General features: G+C 43.9%; 1 protein-coding gene across 8 annotated transcripts in view; it reads left to right on the top strand.

Annotated features, from left to right (window-relative positions):
• Window positions 1–16,197, top strand: part of PARD3 (par-3 family cell polarity regulator) — a 705,736-nt gene extending 689,539 nt beyond the window's left edge. For all 8 annotated transcript variants that reach the window (NM_001184790.2, NM_001184791.2, NM_001184789.2 and 5 more), the window contains 2 exons: window positions 6,018–6,145; window positions 14,196–16,197. In NM_001184790.2, the coding sequence (NP_001171719.1) occupies window positions 6,018–6,145; window positions 14,196–14,589 (522 nt within the window). In that variant the 3' untranslated portion in view covers window positions 14,590–16,197. The remainder of the gene's footprint in view (window positions 1–6,017; window positions 6,146–14,195) is intronic.

Here is a 17,935-nt window from a genome sequence, read left to right as displayed (position 1 = left end):
GAATATCCTCTTCTCCCTCAAGCTTGCTTGTTTCCTAGCTGTCCGTCATTCAATGAATAACAAAATCTGTCCTTTTCTCCCTTTTCCTGTTTCAGACTTTAATAGCTCTCCCTGCCCTCTTAGGGCTCTGCCTGCTTTAATTGGCAAGGCAGTCATAGCACACAGCCACTCTGTACCACTAGATTGCCTCCCTGTGCCTGGGCAATTTCAGAAAATGGTGGTTTTCCTTTCGTTTCCATCTTTTTTAAGACTTAAAAAGTATCTGCTCTCATTTTCTCCTAGCGGCCTCCATGCCTTGACTCAAAAAATGCTGCCTTAGTTGACAGCCTTGAAATGAGTATGACCCTAGCTCTAGTTGGGTGGAAATCACCTCGCATAGAAATAGACCTGGAGGGCCGGGCACGGTGGCTCACTCCTATAATCCCAGCACTTTGGGAGGCCCAGGTGGGTGGATCCCGAGGTCAGGAGTTCAAGACCAGCCTGGCCAACATGGTGAAACCCCGTCTCTACTAAAAATACAAAAATTAGCCGGGCGTGGTGGCAGGTGCCTGTAATCCCAGCTACTCAGGAGGCTGAGGCAGGAGAATCACTTGAACCCAGGAGGCTAAGGTGGCAGTGAGCCAAGATCACGCCATTGCACTCTAACTTGGCGACAAGAGCAAGACTCCGTCTCAAAAAAAAAAAAAGAAAGAAATAGACCTGGAGATAAGCCATCTGCAGAGAGGTGCCCATCACACATGGAGAGAGCCTCTGTACTGTCGCAAAGTCAGCACTTTATTCTGCCCTGTGACCTGTCCCTCAGCCAAAGGCTCTGTGACTCATGGCCATGCTATGCTCAGAAGCCCTGTGTGGTAGGAACTCCTGAAGCTACCTTGGGTTGCCATTAGCCCAGATACTAAAGTGCCTGGCTTGTTTTGTAGAGCAACCTTTTTATTTTCAGTGTTCCTATTGCTTAAGATGGGGGCGGGGATAAAAGATCTAAGCACTGGTGTGAAAGATGAGGTGAAGACAAATACAATTAAGACCAAAACATTCATTTCTAAAAACTTCATGAGGGAAACGGGTGTGCTTTGCAGTCTTTTCAGCCATTACTCACATCCTTAGGAGCAATTAAGCTTTTCAACATTCAAGACCCACAAGAGTTCAGTCAATAGTTACATAATTATGGCATGTGTGGGTGGGTGCGGAAGGCTGGGAAGGCACGATGGGTAGACAAAAGTTAACGTTGTTTTGATTAAAGGTTGTACATAAGTCTACTGAAGAAAATAATTACCAATATTAGCACTGGCCACTTTTCAACAGAGTCAACAGTTGACACTCTTCACATGATTTAATGGCATAAAAATGATTTCTGCTCCCTACCAAATCTTTAAATTGCTACTCTTATCAGAATATGGAATTCCTATTAGGGTCACAGCTCATGTGAATTGCTAAAGTAAGGATTGTGAATCTCAAGGGAATGCCATTAGTCTTTTTGTCATCAGCATCATTCTCACCATCATCTTCATCACAGGTTTTCATCCAAAGTGCCTGAATGTTTTGTATTTTACTTTTTGTTTTCTATATGTGCCCTTGGACATACAAAATTTTGCAGATTTTTATCATTCATAATTTAAGGAGAAAATCTGCTCAAAGTGATCCTTTATAAAAATATTACATATGTGTGTGGATATATATATACACGTGCACACCCACACATACTTACACACTATTTTCCTTATCTATAAGAAGAAAAGTGATAGATTATTTGAAATTATTGAATATTCTATGTATATGTTAATATAACAATGATTTTATTTCATAAGTGGCAGCACACTCGCATATTAAGCTGTCAAAGTCTTACAGTATTACCTAGTTCTAATTAGTACTGAAACTTTGTACTGTGGATATTCATGTTTGTTCTTTACTCTGTTAACTGTCTATTAAATATTTCGTTTTGTATTTTCATTTTTTTCTATTTTTATTTTGAAGCAATGATTTTATTTAATTAAGAGAAATGCTTAAAGACTTAATTCATAAAACACCGTATGAGACCATTACAAGCATGTAATCTCCAGCACTTTGGGAGGCAAAGGTGGGAGGATCACTTGAGAGCAGGAGTTCAAGACCAGCCTGGGCAACACAGCAAGACCCTGCCTCTACAAAAATTAAAAAGAAAAAAAAAATTAACCAGGCATGGTGGTGCATACCTGTAGTCCTGGCTACTGAGGACAGCTTGAGCCCAGGAGTTTGAGGCTGCAGTGAGCTGTAATTGTGCCACTGTACTCCAGCCTTGGCAACAGAGCAAGATTCTGACTCTAAAATAAAAACAAAATGTTTAAAAAAAAAACTGTGGAAAATATTTTTTTATATTTTACCCTACTAAATGATACCAACATTGTATAGCTTCCTCAAGCTTGAATTATTATCCCTTTATAATCTATGAGAAAGACAAGTACTTTGTAGTCCACTTACAAAAAAAAATACATATTTTTCACTTGTGGTTTTAAACATAGGCCATGAAGAGATTTACATATCATGGCTCTCCAGCATCCTGTGTAATATATACTCGTGTGTTTATTTCCATCTTACAATCTCTATTGTTATTATGGCTCTGGCAGCCATGTTTTTTTTTTATTTAAAAGGTCATTGCTTGTAACCAATTTCATCACAGGGTTATTTGTAATTTGCACTGTTAGAACAGAGCTTCGCCTTGTTCTCTGGTGAATCTCCAGAGTTATTACAGTTATGCCTGCGCAGGTATTTCCCTATGTGGGTGTTACTTTGTCGCTGCAGTTGTTGATGATATTTTATTTGAAAACATACACTTCTCTGTGAGGTTACAAATTACCTCTTTTCTTCACTTTATTTTTGTGCTTGGACTCAGATACATTATTTTGTTCATGCCATAGGGATTGAAGCCACAGTGTGTAAAATTCCAGATTGCCATTGTAATACTGTTCATCCAGTTTTTGTTTTTAAGAGGTCTTCATTTAAATTGTGAATTAGAGGGGTGATTTTTATTCAGGTCAAGTGTCAAACTTGCCGGGATGAACTTATTTAGTTGTTGCTCTGGGCTGGTCATGTATGCAATCTTCCTTGAAATATGTGACCTGTTAGAGGGTTTTATCTTAAAGGTAAGAGTGATTCTGTTTAGTAACCCACCCTTTTGCAAGTTCTAAAAAGAGAAATGGAGTAAACTATTAATGGTGAAGCCAATGTTTATGTTTCTTCCTGGTGAGCATGATAGTATGAAATATGTCAGTTTGCTGATCCCAAACTCATTCACTCCTTTTAAGTTTTCAGACCCCATATGCTGATAATGTCATCATTGGAATGTATCCAGATCCAACTAGATACTTGTAGCTGATAAAGTTTGAGGCGAACAGTGTCAGAAAACACACAGCAGAGAAAACAAGTCCTTCAACTTCTTTTTTCTCTGTCAGAAGCAAATTTTCAGGCCTATGGGAGAAACAACTTAAAAATACACCTGAAATTTCTACAAGACCTTGCAATTTCCCTTCACATCTCCACAAGCAGCTTGTCACAGAACAGCACGAGCTTAAAAAGCTGGTTACTAAATCCTGCTGCAGAATGCCAGATCTTTCAAGACTGTTTGACACATGCATATAGTTTACACTGAGTGAAAAGGAAAGGAAAATGTGGTTCTTTTGAGGGTGTAAAGGAAATGGTGTAGTGTTTTCTTTCTGTCCAGTGGTTTATCTCAAGCTTCCCATTGCTCACCGTGACAAGAAAACAGCTCAGTTTCCTTTTTGGCCAGCCTCATCAAGTGTAATGGAAGAAAATGTCTGTCTCTTTTAATGCAGTTGATGAACAATTGTTTGCATAAGCAGAACTCGCTCAGCGAAGTGTTTTTCTTGCTGAAGGCCTCACTGATGTGTTATTTGAACGGTGTTGTGAAGCGGGTCTCTGAATACACATTTGTTCCAGTGAGTGTGGTTATAAAGCCCCTAGTAGAGACTGGGGTATTGTAAAGCCTAATCTCCTCACACATTATTTTTGTATCGGGATATTTTTAATATGCTCACTAACTAAGCCCATATGCTTTGAAATGTTTGTCCTGTATATTGCTTCATTACTGCTTATCAACAAGTAAGGTTGTGCTGGCTTTGCAGAAAGAGAACAATAGATGATGCTTGATTTCTTTCTGTGCTGGCCAAAGCCAACCATAGGAGCCATTCTTTTGGTAACAAGGCTACCTGTTATCTTACAGCTCGCCAAATGAATGTTCAGACTCTGTTGTTTTAGAAAATCATTATCAGGGCAAAGTCTACCATTAGCTTTCAACTCTAAAAGAAAATCAATAACTTGTTTCAAACAGACATTCCTCACTCAGACTATGCCTGTTGCACAACGTTGCATAACAGAGGGGGAACTGAGGGTGGCGAGTACTGAAAAGGATCACTTAAGGGGCCTACTGCTGATGCTGTGACAAACCATTGGGATGTTTCATAAATGTAGAGGCACCATTGTATATTTTGAGCACAGCTACTTTTATTTCAAAAGGCCAGATCTAGAAGGTAAGGTAACCATTGTCAGTGAGAAATTGAAGCATCCCAGAAACCTGATCTATACCATGCGGTATACACGTTCAGTAATCTGATTTCGGTGAGAAGCACCAATCACCAGATGACTTGCTGACCAAAGTATGTTTTTTCTTTTCTTTCTTTTCGTTTTTCCTTTTTTTTTTTTCTTTTTTTGAGACAGGGTCTTGCACCATCACCCAGGCTGGAGTGCAATGGCACGGTCATGGCTTACTGCAGCCTCAATCTCCTAGGCTCAAGCGGTCCTCCTGTCTCAGCTTCCCAAGTAGCTGGGATCACAGACATGTGCCACTGCACCTGACTAATTTTTAAAATTTTTTTGTGGAGACAGGGTCTCACTGTGGTGCCCAGGCTGGTCTTGAACTCCTGAAATGGAGTGCTAACCAAAGTATTTAGTTAGAAGGATTGAAGTGTTCTCTATAGGGGATGATTAACTTAGGTAAATTGCCATTTCCTAATAACTAAGGTAAAATGCATTACCTAATAACCAATTTAAGTAGCGAGTAGCTTTTGGGTTTGTTCTTTTGATAGGCATTTCTGTTCCCTGTTTGGCTGCCATCTGTGGATTGCAGGAGACCTGTTGGTACCTAGTTTAAACTAATCTTGGCTTAAAATTTCACTGTCATCCTGTACTAGAAAGGGAATCAGCTATACTGTATCCTGCTGTAAAACTAAAATATATACCTACCCCCCAAAATTCATCAACATGGCCACCTCACAGGTGTGCACTCCTGGACTTTCCCTCTTTTGAGAGTTGTAGCAAATTTTTATTTATTTATTTATTTTTGGCATTAACATCTTCTAGTTTTTGGAAGAGCCTCATTCTTATTGTATCTGCTCTGTGTATTCTGGAGAGAGGTAAATGGTGTCTTATGTCAGCATTTACCAAGCCTCATTATAAAGACTAGACGCTGGGTTTAGTGGCTTACACCTGTAATCTCAGCACTTTGGGAGGCTGAGGCAGGATTGCTTGAGGCCAGGACAACATAGGGAAACCCCATCTCTACCAAAAAAAAAAAAAAAAAAAAAATTAGCCAGGCATGGTGGCCTGTGCTTGTAATCCCGGTTACTCGGGAGACTGAGGTGGGAGGATCACTTGAACCCAGGAGTTCAAGGCTGCAGTGAGCCATGATTGCACTACTGCACTCCTGCTTGGGTGACAGAGTGAGATCCCATCTCTAAAAAAAAAAAAAAAAAAAAAAAAAAAAATTAAAGAAGACTAGAAAGTTTGATCTCTTCAATTTAAACCACATGCCAAAGCCAAAATCACAGTTTAAGAAAATTGAGTGTTTATGGGCTCATAAGAGCAAATATATGTATGCCACTTTTCTCAAAGAAACGATTTTGAAAAACAAATCACAGAATTTTCAAAATTTTCAAAGTCAATTCATAAGAATCGAAATGGAGTCAACCAGTTGTGTGATCTGTACAGAACTTTCTGGTTAACGATGTGCTTGTATTTTCCTCTTCCAGCCGAACGCACGGCCGGCGACGCAGAGCGGGCGACACTCGGTGTCCGTGGAGGTGCAGATGCAGCGGCAGCGGCAGGAGGAGCGCGAGAGCTCCCAGCAGGCCCAGCGCCAGTACAGCTCTCTGCCTCGGTATGAGGACGCTTGGCCGAGCCTCCAGATCCCCCCGGCCCTTTAAGATCCCCCGCCCTTTAGGAACGCGCTCCTTCCCAAGTCACTGGGGCCTCTCCAGCTTGCCCCTGGTAGCAACAGAGGAACCAATAAATGTCCCGTGGCTACTGTTCCTTAGCGTGGGGGGCTGTCGTACTGCGAGGCCAGGGGAAATGCCCATTGCAGGAGATGCCAGTATTTTCACCCACAAGCTCCCTAAAAAAGTGAAGCGACTCGTGTACTGGCTTCTTAGTATTGGCTCTCCTGCTTCCTGTGTGGACAAGACAGTATCTTCATCTGAAAAATGGGAAGATAACCCTTATTTGGCTTAGCACATATGGTTATTAGAATAAATGATACTTCATAAATCCAGAGCTCCATAAAAGGATCGAGAGTCAGTGCTGCATACGCCGTGGTTGTGTGGGATCCATGGTCCCAAACCTCACTCTCTTACTGTCCCATCATCACTGCTCTCACCCATGTTTAACTTTAGAGGGTCTCAGGGATGTTGAGCTTGTTAGCTGGGAACCAAGCAAGAAACCCTTACTTGCCTGCTCCCCAGGGGAGACGCCTTGGCCCAGTTCTCCGACAAAGGCCTGCAAGGGTCTCAGGGTGACTGAGTGCCAGTACATTGAAATAGTAACTATTTTTCCATCAAAGTTTTTCTTCCAGGCATAGTAAAGAATAAAAATGTTGAAAAACATTCAGCTTTTTAAACTTCCCAAAACAGGTGACTCCTGTAGTCACAATTCTTATAGGCATTTGTTGCTGTATTTCAAAATCAGGTGACAAAGACATATTTTAAGTGGGAAAAGATTCATTTGCCATGTTGATATCAGGTAGACTTTTGACTTTGAGCAAAACAGTTTTAGGGAGTTAGGAGACAAATGCTTATCTTGACTGACCAGTGTAGAGTGATCTTGATCAATTTCTAATAAAGATGAGTCCTGGCCAGGCACGGTGGCTCAGGTCTGTAATCCCAGCACTTTGGGAGGCTGAGGCAGGCAGATCATTTGAGCCCAGGAGTTCGAGACCAGCCTGGGCAACATGGCAAAACACTATCTCCATAAAAAAATACAAAAATTAGCTGGGCTTGGTGGCACATGCCTGTAATCCCAGCTCCATGGGAGGCTGAGATGGGAGGATCGCTTGAGCCTGGGAAGCAGAGGTTACAGTGAGCTGAGATCACACCACTGCACTTGCCTGGGTGACAGAGCAAGACCCTGTTTCGAAAAGATGAATTTCTTTACATGTTAAATAATCACTGTAACAACCACAACGGACTTCACCACATGGATACAGGTCAGCCAAGGGGACATGGATGTGAATGAGTCTCCATGGGGATAAGTGCCATCTATTGTAGCAGTTTATTCATTCAGTTGTTCTTTTTCAATCCATAAGGCTATATAAAACCCCTTTGAGTACTAAATTATTTTTTCCTTTAAAGAGGAGAATTGCCAGGTTCTTTAGCCTGCTGTAGGTAAGAGTCATTAAAGTTTTGGTCTTTATAGGACCTTTGAGATAATCTTATCTTACAAGGAAACAGCTCAGAGTAAGTAAATTTCCCCCAGCTCACACAGCTAGCAAGTCATTTTGCCAGCATTCAAACCTGAATCTGCCCATGCCCTAAACCATGATTTTATAAGGCCCGTTGCTATCAAGGGCTTCTGTTCCCAAATTTTTTGAGACAGAGTCTTGTTCTGTTGCCCCGGCTGGAGTGCAGTGGCGCGACCTTGGCTCACTGCAACCTCCACCTCCCAGACTCAAGCAATTCTCATGCCTTAGCCTCCCAAATAGCTGGGGTTACAGGCGTGCGCCACCTCGCCTGGCTAATTTTTGTATCTTTAGTAGAGAAGGGGTTTGCCATGTTGTCCAGGCTGGTTTCGAACCCCTGGCCTCAAGTGATCTGCCCACCTTAGCCCCCCAAAGTGCTGGGATTACAGGTGTGAGCCACCACACCTGGCCCCAAATTTGGGATATTAACAGGTGCAAAGTTCCCCTCAGTGCTCTCCTGCCCTCAGCATTTAGAAGGAGGTCACTGTGTGAATCAACCCAGTGAATCAAATGCCTAAGCACTTGAAGAATTAGACATCAAGGTTGGTCTGTGTAAAATCCACCCTATCCCCCACTCCGCTACCCCCCTGCCCCCTCCCCACTGCCCTCCAGTCTGTGTGGCTGCATTCCATCGGAAGGGTGAGCTGACAGTGTGGACGAATTGGCCCACCTGGCATGGCCCTCCCTGCACGACCACACGGGTGGGCCAGGGCACTTCATAGCTTGTGTGGATGGTGTTGTCAGGGCAGGGGCTGTGTTCTTATTTTTATTGGCCAGTTGTTTGGCTTCATATATTTTGGCCGTGCCTGAGAGTGTCTCTAAGGATTGAAGGAGAAACATAACAAAGTGTGTATAATGAGAGCAGTGATGTGGGAGCTGCCAAGGGCTGAGAAAGGGAGGTGGGAGAGAGAGCGGTGGGCGGGCCGGGAAGGCAGGGCAGTTGCCAGGGAGAAGGGGCACTTGGGTCCCAGTCCTCAGAAGAGGCAAAAGACAGAGGCAGGTGCTTCCACTGAATTTCTCCTGGTTGCATTCCAAAGTAGCTCATGCATTCCCGCCGAACCTTTCATCCTCGCCTTCCCATTCCTCTCCCTTCTTTACTCTGAGCCCCGACATCTCTTCCCTTCTCCGCCTCTCCCTGCGGAAGCGCCTGGTAGAGATATCTATATTTACACGCAGAGGAGGGTTGCAGCCGCTACCGCTAGTGCCTCCGCTGTTATTTAGTGGTGCCCTAAATAACTACAGCTTTCCCTCTGGGTTAATTGTAGCTCCCTATTTTTAGTCATTTTATCCTATTTAGATATGAGAAAAGCAGACATCCTCAAATTAAAGAGTTATGTAAGTTTGGGCAGCGGAGGCTGGTAGGTTTCTGCAGTATCTTCTTGTCTTCCTTTAGAGAACAATTTATCAATGAGAATCTTCCTGTTTGTGAGGGAGATTAGGAACATAGAACCCTGCGTTCGGCTTGATGCCTTGCAAAGCAGCCCCACTCTGTGGCAGGCTGTGTGCAGAGATCTGAGGGAAGGGAAAGAAAGCAAACAGGAGGTCAGGGGGGACTGCAACCACCTCCGTGAGCTTGAGTCAAGTCCAAGTTTCTGACATGTGATATTCTTCAAAGACACTTGACCTCTGCTTTTCGGATGTTGACAATTAACAGAGTTTTGTCTAAACAAGTTGGTATGGCATTAGAAACCAAAAAGATTACACACAGAAAAAAAGTATAGTTACAAAGTGGAGCGTAAAATAAAACAAATGGTCTGGGCTTTGTATCCGTTGCATTAGATAAGGTGGTTTGAATTAGAGGCATGTATATGAGAAAGAGTGGTTTGTAAATTCTAACTGTAAGTAAGAAACTCTATGGACAGAAATCAAGTTACATTTTGGCATGTCAATGAGAAACACTGGCCAGGTGGTAACACTAGTTGGCAGGAAAAGGGACCTGTGTGGTGGCCCCACACTCAGTTCTCAATCAGAATAGGATTTTTGTTTGTTTTTCTTTTTCTAAAATAATTTATTTTTTATTATAAATTATAGGCTGGGCGTGGTGGCTTACGCCTGTAATCCCAGCATTTGGGATGCCGAGGCAGGCGGATCACAAGGTCAGGAGATCGAGACCATCCTGGCTAACACGGTGAAACCTTGTCTCTACTAAAAATACAAAACATTAGCCAGGCTTGGTGGTGGGCGCGTGTAGTCCCAGCTACTCGGGAGGCTGAGGCAGGAGAATGGTGTGAACCCGGGAGGCGGAGCTTGCAGTGAGCCGAGATCGCGCCACTGCACTCCAGCCTGGGCAACAGAGCAAAACTCCGTCTCAAAGAAAAAAAAAAAAAAGAAAAAAATTATAAATTGACAGTTTATAATTGTATAATTTGTGGGGCACAAAGTGATGTTATGATTTATGAATATAGCATAAAAGAATTAATTAAGTTTAATCAAGTTAGCTAACATATCCATCACCTCAAATATTTACTCTCTCAGCAGCTGTGAAATGTACAATACTCTGTTATTAACTATACCTACCATGCTGTGCAGTAGAACAGAAAAATTGCTCCTCTGTCATTGAGATTTGTACCCTTTGACATCATCTTTTTTTAATTCCTAAATTAGTTTCTTTCCTTAATATCCAAAAGGCAGCCCCCAAAAGGAATAGAGGCGTGCGTAGTCACAGGCACTGGTAGAGAGAAATAAGGTTCTTGGTTTGGTGTTTCCCTTCATTTTCTTTTCCTGCCTCTCCATTTCTTCTTCATCTTTCTCCCCTCCCTCGGCTCCGTGTCTGCTGTGGTCTGACTTCCTCGAAAGCCTTGTATACCTCACCCTCCACGCTGTGTCTCTGCACCCTCCCGCGTTCTCTCCACGAGGCCCATTTGTTATGTCTCCAATCTACTTCCCAACTTCTTAGCCTCGCTCCCTCTGTCTTCCTCCTTCTGTCTGTGTCCCCCTCATCCTGGTGGCTTAATGGCTTTCCTCGGGCATCAGATCTTTGGTTTGAGTCCTCTCCATGCTGATGGTCTCCAGGCCATGTTGGAGGTGGTTGTAATCTTTAGGTGATAATCTTTAGGTGATAGTTATTGCCAAACCATGGTACGTGGTAAGTGCTTTGAGTGGATTTAGCAATGTCCAGGGGCTCACTGCAGGACCAAACAATCCTATATGTTGGTTATAAAGAAATTCAATGAAAGGAGATTGATATTTTGTTGCTGTTGTTACCCATGGCCTTAGCCAAGGGCTCACAGGACAGTGGGAAGAACATGGGCTTCCGTCTGATCTCTGCAGCAGTGTGCCAAAGTTGCCCTCGCTTAGTAAGGGTTCCTTTCTCCTCTGATGCTTTTCTGTGTCTTGGCATCTCTACTCAATCCCTCCAACCAAGGAAGGGAAAGCTAACTTTAAAAAACAATTTTTGGCCGAGCAGAGTGGCTCATGCCTGTAATCCCAGGACTATGGGAGGCTGAGGTCGGCAGATCACTTGAGTTCAGGAGTTCAAGACCAGCCTGGTCCAACATGGTGAAATCCCATCTCTACTAACAATACAAAAATTAGCCAGGTGTGGTGGTTTGTTCCTGTAATCCCAGCTACCTGGGAGCCTAAGACAGCTGAATCGCTTGAACCCAGGAAGTAGAAGTTGCAGTGAGCCAAGATTGCACCACTGTACTCCACCCTGGGCAAAAGAGTGAGGCTCTGTCTCAAAAACAAAATAATTAAATTAAATTAAAAACAATTTTCTTCTTTGGTCAAAAAGATGCCTCCCTAAGTCCTGAGCCTTTTTTTCTTTTTCTCCTCTTTTAGAGATGAGGTCTCACTTTGTTACCCAGGCTGCAGTGCAGTGGTGCAATCACGGCTCACTGCAGCCTCGACCTCCTGGGCTCAAGCAATTCTCCCACCTCAGCCACCCAAGTTGCTGGGACTACAGGCACCCACCACCACACCTGGCTAATTTTTTCAAAACATCTTTTGTAGAGATGGGGTCTCACTATGTTACCCAGGCTGATCTCAAACTCCTGGCCTCAAGCAGTCCTCCCACCTCATCCTCCTAAAGTTCTGAGATTACAGGCCTGAGCCACCACACCCAGGCTCAGAGCCTAATCTTTGAAGGCAGAGTGACTTTGTCTTCAAACTACTCCTCCGGGACCTATTAGTCAATCACTTACTGAGTGCAAGTCACTTTTCTAAGCACTTTACATGTGTTATTTCATTTCTTTCTCCCCACAACCTTTCAGGGTTAGAGATTATGCCTGTTTCATAGGTAAGGTAACTTGAGCCCAGTGAGCAGAACTCGCCCAGTGTCACACAGCCAGCCAGTGGCAGGCTCAGGATTTGAATCTACGTTGCTCTAAGCCTAAGCCACTCCCACCTTGCCCAGCTGGATGCTTAGTTTCCTAGTGTAGGAAACTCTTATTGTCTGTTTCCTTCCCTTGGTCTCTACAATTGGCCCATTTCTCATTCTCTCCTTAATCAAGAGCATATAGATACTGCTAACTTCCTTACCAAGGAATTGTGTGTGTGCGCATGTGTGTGTGTGTCTATGTGTGTGTGTGTGTGTGTGTGTGTGTTTCTGTCTTATGTGCATTTTACCCACATATCTTACTTCAGACCTCAGGGCAGTCTGCTTCCTTCTCTCTATACTGATTAATTTGAAGAAAATTTTAGCTACAAAAAATTGGTTCTCCCACATTGTTGTAATTTCCATCCCTAACAAACCTTTAGTGAATTCTCCCTGTTTAAATGTAGAAAGACTGTGTCTTCCGGGGATGATGCAGAATCCACTTAGGGTGCACAGCTGCCGTAGAGCGAAGCCTGGGGCTCCATGAAGCTGGGGAGGAAGGGGGTTGGTGGATCTTAGTAGGCCAGAGATGAAAAAGAGGTGAAATGTCTGCAGCCTATTTCTGATTATCTTCAAACTGATAACTCATAAAAGAATCCCATTTTTGTTGCTGTAATATCAGTCACAAGTTCCTTGTTTTAATTAAAGTTTCATGATTAATGTCAAATCCCTGGTTTCATGCCGGCATTTTCCAACAGTCTTGTCTCTGGGTAGATTAATTTATGACTTAAGTGAAGATAATCAGTGCTTTAGGCAAATAAACTATTCCATCACATCTAAGGATTCTTGCCTGGGCTGACTGTACAAATGGTGCAGTCTTCCGTTAAAAGAGACAGACATGCTATGGAATGCTCATCCAGTCATCGTCATAGCCAGAGGTGATGCTGGACATTATGGTCATTTTCTTTACTGAAAATGTTCCCAACTACATTTTAGGCCATATGGAAAATGGGTGCATTTCACTCCAAACCATATTGATGCAATTGTGAATGTTCAAAAATGCAAATTGCATCATTCCTGCGGGAGATGCAGTGGCTTCCCAGACCTTCTTTTCCTTCCGTGAAAATCTTTGTGAACATTCAGCTGTGTTGTGTGTGTTGATGGAGAGGGTTGAGCAATACATACTGTCGCCAAATGATTTTCTTATTGATAAATGGAGCAATATACTTTGTTTTATTACTCAATTGTCTCTCCCCCTCTTCCATTTTCAAGGCAAAAAAATTAGGGCATGTCTTCCTTTCTGGCACAGAATTGTTTTATTTCATCATAGCCAATCTTATTGTAAATTCATAAAACCATCTAGAGACTTGATAGTAAATTAAAGATGTTTCAAAACAATAATGTTTCCTGGAAATCATGCCCAACTCTGTTGCAGAAGTGGGAAGAATTTGAAATTTCCATGTGACTCTGATTTACTTGCCTATCCTGGGGTGACAGAAAGCAAGTTAAGTAGGTCACCCTGGCCTTTGGTGAAGGTAAATGTATAAGAAAATAGTGCTTACTTTACAGACTTCCGGACTCTCCGTCCAATCTGGATGAGCAGGTATCCCGGAGAGTGTAAGTTGCTGACATACACAACTTGAAAGCCAGAGCTTTAAGGGACTGCCTGTTGCATTTTTTATCATAAAGGAGTCTAGACTTAAATCTTTCATAACCGAACTCATACTGTAATCCATTACATGTACTTCATATTAGCTAGCGCTTCTGGCATTATGGTGGCAGCTGTGTAAAATATTTGTTGTGCTTGTTTAGAATTGAATTGTAATGTTCTAAAGCGAGCAATTATTCCTACCATGGAAGCTGCCAAACCTCTAATACTTCTATACTTTGCCAGTGTGTCTAAATTGCAGGAGATATTGGTACCCTAAGCAGAACAGACACAACCTTCTCAGACACAGGAGGATGACCCTGTTTCTAAATAGCTGCACAGTCTAGTTCTCTCTCCTGTTTACTCGTTGTTAGTTTAGTTGTCTAAGACTATGCGCTTGCTGAGGACAGTCATTTTTGAATTCTCCAGCCCCTATCGCAGTGTCTGGCATGTGATGAGAGAACAGGAATATTTGTTGAAAAGTGAAAATGCATATTCCATCCCATCCTGCCCCCTTTCCTCCCTCTCCCTCCTTCTTCCTACCCTCACACTAACCTTTGGGTTTTGCTTTCTAGGCAAAGCAGGAAAAATGCCAGCTCGGTCTCCCAGGACTCTTGGGAGCAGAACTACTCCCCTGGGGAAGGCTTCCAGAGTGCCAAAGAGAACCCCAGGTACTCCAGCTACCAAGGCTCCAGGAACGGCTACCTGGGAGGACATGGCTTCAACGCCAGGGTCATGCTGGAAACTCAGGAGCTCCTTCGCCAGGAACAGAGGCGGAAGGAGCAGCAGATGAAGAAGCAGCCTCCTTCCGAGGGGCCCAGCAACTATGACTCGTATAAGAAAGTCCAGGACCCCAGTTACGCCCCTCCCAAGGGGCCCTTCCGGCAAGATGTGCCCCCCTCCCCTTCTCAGGTTGCGAGGCTGAACAGACTTCAGACTCCTGAGAAAGGGAGGCCCTTCTATTCCTGAGCACGCAAATAACGGATGCTTCATGTCGCGCAATAAAAGACATTTTCCTATGAAGACTTGTATTTTGGGAGTTTTTTTAAAACCTCGATGGTACTATGGAGTATTTCTGTTGTTGGTATCAGTGCCTTTAAGCGGTGTAGGCAAAGAAATGGAAGGCCTTAATGTCTTTGCCACTATGTCTCAAGTGTCTGTTTCATGGAAGGATTTCCCACCCTGTGACAATCATCTGTTTGAGGTGTTCATATGCTCTGCGCCTCTCCACAGTACCAGGAATCTCGGCCCTACTCATGAGTTGTCCGCGGCTTGGTTGTAACATCCCTGCACCACTTGCAGTGACAAATTCACCTGAAGTGGAGGATGACGTGCGGCCCTGTTTCTCCCTCTAAGTTCTCTTAGCTATGGGATGACATCTTAGTCTCTGGTGGAGGAAAAGTGGGCGACATACACCAAAAATTGGGGCTTTCTGGTACTTCACAGCACAGCCATTTGTCGTACTTTGTCATCACTGTGGTTTTCTCTTTCCTTTCTCAGCTCTTTGTGACGGGAGAGTCGGTCATCCTATTACAGAAGCTAAGCCATAGTCCAACATTGTTTGGTCACCATGGGGGTCCTTTTGTAACTGCCTTATGACTCAACATTACCAATAAAGTGATGATCCTGGTCTGCGTTTATACATACGCTTGTTCGGTCCTGTTCCTGACACGTGGGTTGAGTCACCACAGCTCTGTGTGGGGAACGTGGGAGACAGGAGTGGCTCCTGCCGGGGGAAGCTGGGCCTGCCATTGGCCCTGTGTCTATCATGAGGGGAGAGCTAAGAAAGAAATTCTCCTAGGAAGAGCTCATGGCCCAGTACATCCTAGTAATTATTTTAATTAGTTTTTGTTCTGACAGCTTGTCAGGAAGGGCACAGAATGGGACAGAGATAAACCAGACAGTCATTTTGATCTGCTCTCTACGGTTTTTCAAGTCAGAGGCAATTGATGCTTGTCTAATGCATCCACACACTGCATGTCTGACTGGCGATGCCGCGCTCCTAAGTAGTTCTGCCATGAAACATAAAAGACAAAGGAAAAGCCGTTACACATCACACAGAGAACATTTTCGGGTCCCACAGCGGTGGTGGCAGGAAGCTCACTCTCGCGTCAGTATTAGAGTGTGTGTGTGGGTCTCGGGGATCTCGGTGGCTCCCATCTTCCTTCATTGTTCTGAACATCCTGTATTGTAAACCATGGCTGGGGTGCTAAAGTGCCTGTGAATCCCGATGTGGAAAAAGCTGGAGGTGAAAGCTCAGCATACCATGTATTTACTTTAAAAACAGAAAAAAAGACATGTATGGATATGTCTATTTTTTTTTTATTGGCACATTGTATTTTTGTGTTGACTTGTTTTTAGAAATGATGTGTCCACACACGTACCCGTGTCTCTTCTGCATTTCTGTGTCATGGTTCTGTTTCTTAATCACGTGCGGCGGTGTCTAAGTGGTGTTACCAGTGTACGCGCAGTGACCTTGGATGACAGTGGCTCTTTCTCACAGCCTCCCCTGAGCTGTGAGAAACAGCTTTCTCTGTACATATGCAACTCCTAATAAAAGGCATATTTCTTCCTGTTCTTTTGGTGTCTCTGGTGTTCCTGGGCAGCCTTGCCTAGCTGGGCTTTTTTAAAAGGTCTATTAACAGATGTGATTTTTTTTTTTTTTTTATATTTAGAGAAAGTTGGAAGTTTCCTCACATCTGAGGAAAGTTTGCAGGAAAGGGGGCAGGAGAACCCTGGGGCCCACTCTTGGATGAGGATGGAGAGGGGGGACTCACCTGTCCCTTGGAAAAGATGGTCCCCATTATGACATCATTCTCACTCTTAGTCCATTAAGACAATATACAGTCTTACAGTTGGAAGTCTCAAAGTGGGAAGTTTGCAAACACAGGAACTGGTGGTTGATTGCGTATTTGAGCACCTGAGGAGAGAGGGGAAGGGGAGAGACAAGAACCTTCATGAGTCCACTGCAAGGCCCAGGCTGCCTGAAGAAGCCTGAGGAGTTCTGAATTGAAGGAGCCAGTACAGCTCGAACTAAATGAATGAAAAATTATGCAGAAAGCGACATGATAGTCCCATGACTGCCCTTTGGACCCTTGGAATCATCCTAGCAAGCCAGATGTTTTGATTGAGTCCTGGCCTTGAGTCCTGTGAGCCCAGAGAAAGGTCCAGATTCGAGTCCACTTCCAGTACAAACCTGGTTCTTATTTCCCAAATTACAAAGTAAGGCTTTGCTATTTCTTTAAGAGGGACGCCCACAAATATGCATGCGGCATTTTGAAGGCATAAAGGGTGCTATGTCCCTAGGTATGTCTAGTGCACAAATATAGGAGATTTGGTCCCCACACAAATGGCAGACTTTGCGAGGACCTGTCAAAAATGCCCTCTTATGGAGCACCTAGCATCAGTGGGTTGTCATAGCAACGCTCATCCTGTCACTACATCCAAATTCTATCACCTCGAGATTAGGAATGAGGGGTGCATGGCAAGCCGAGGCAATACCACCTCCTTGGTTCTTTCAAGCATGCCAGGTGTGGGAAGTGAAAAGGGAAGATGGACAGGTTTGTTCATTTTCTCCCTGAGCAGGAGGCCCATTGCTAATGCCAAAACACATGGCTTATTTGTCTCAACTGACAGCGGACAGCAGAGTAGGAGAGGCAATAATCACATGTTGTGGGGACCCAAGTCACAAAGGGACCTGTGGGTTGAAACTGACAGTTTGAGCGGCACTGGGAAGAGAAGTAGGAATGGTCCACAGAGAAGTCAAAATAGGCTCCATGAAGCAACCTTGACTCAGCGGACCAGCCTCCTGGCTTCAGGACCTTTTGCTAAGACACAAGGGTATCCCCTGGGAGGGCGTGTCCCAAGGCGGAGCCGGCCCGGGTGCTGTCAAGATGGGCACTGGAATCTGCCCAGCAAAAATTGCATGAAAGGGGAGCCAGGGAGACCCTGGAGCCCACTCTCAGATGAGGATGGAGGTAGGGGAACTCACCTGTCCTTTGGGAAAGATGGTCTCCACTATGGCATCATTTCTAAGTCCATTAAGACAGTATATAGTCATTTGTATTAGAAATTATAAAAATAATACTGCATAGCATATCTATATTATATGTAATTGAAGCACTGCCATCCACCTTCTCTTTCTGTGGTCAGACCGACGGCAGCTCAAAGGTCAAAGTATTAGGGTTCAATCACTTGGCGGTTCATGGTCCAATGACCACAGCTAAGGAGGAGTTCACCAAGGGTTTCATTATTGGCAACGCGTGAGGAGGATGCCAGGGATAGTTCCCAAAAGCAGTACCTCCCTGAACGAGGT

The sequence above is a fragment of the Homo sapiens genome, chromosome 10 (assembly GCF_000001405.40).
Source record: "Homo sapiens chromosome 10, GRCh38.p14 Primary Assembly".
NCBI classification, from domain to species: Eukaryota; Metazoa; Chordata; class Mammalia; order Primates; family Hominidae; genus Homo; species Homo sapiens.
This window is presented reverse-complemented; position numbering and strand designations above follow the sequence as displayed.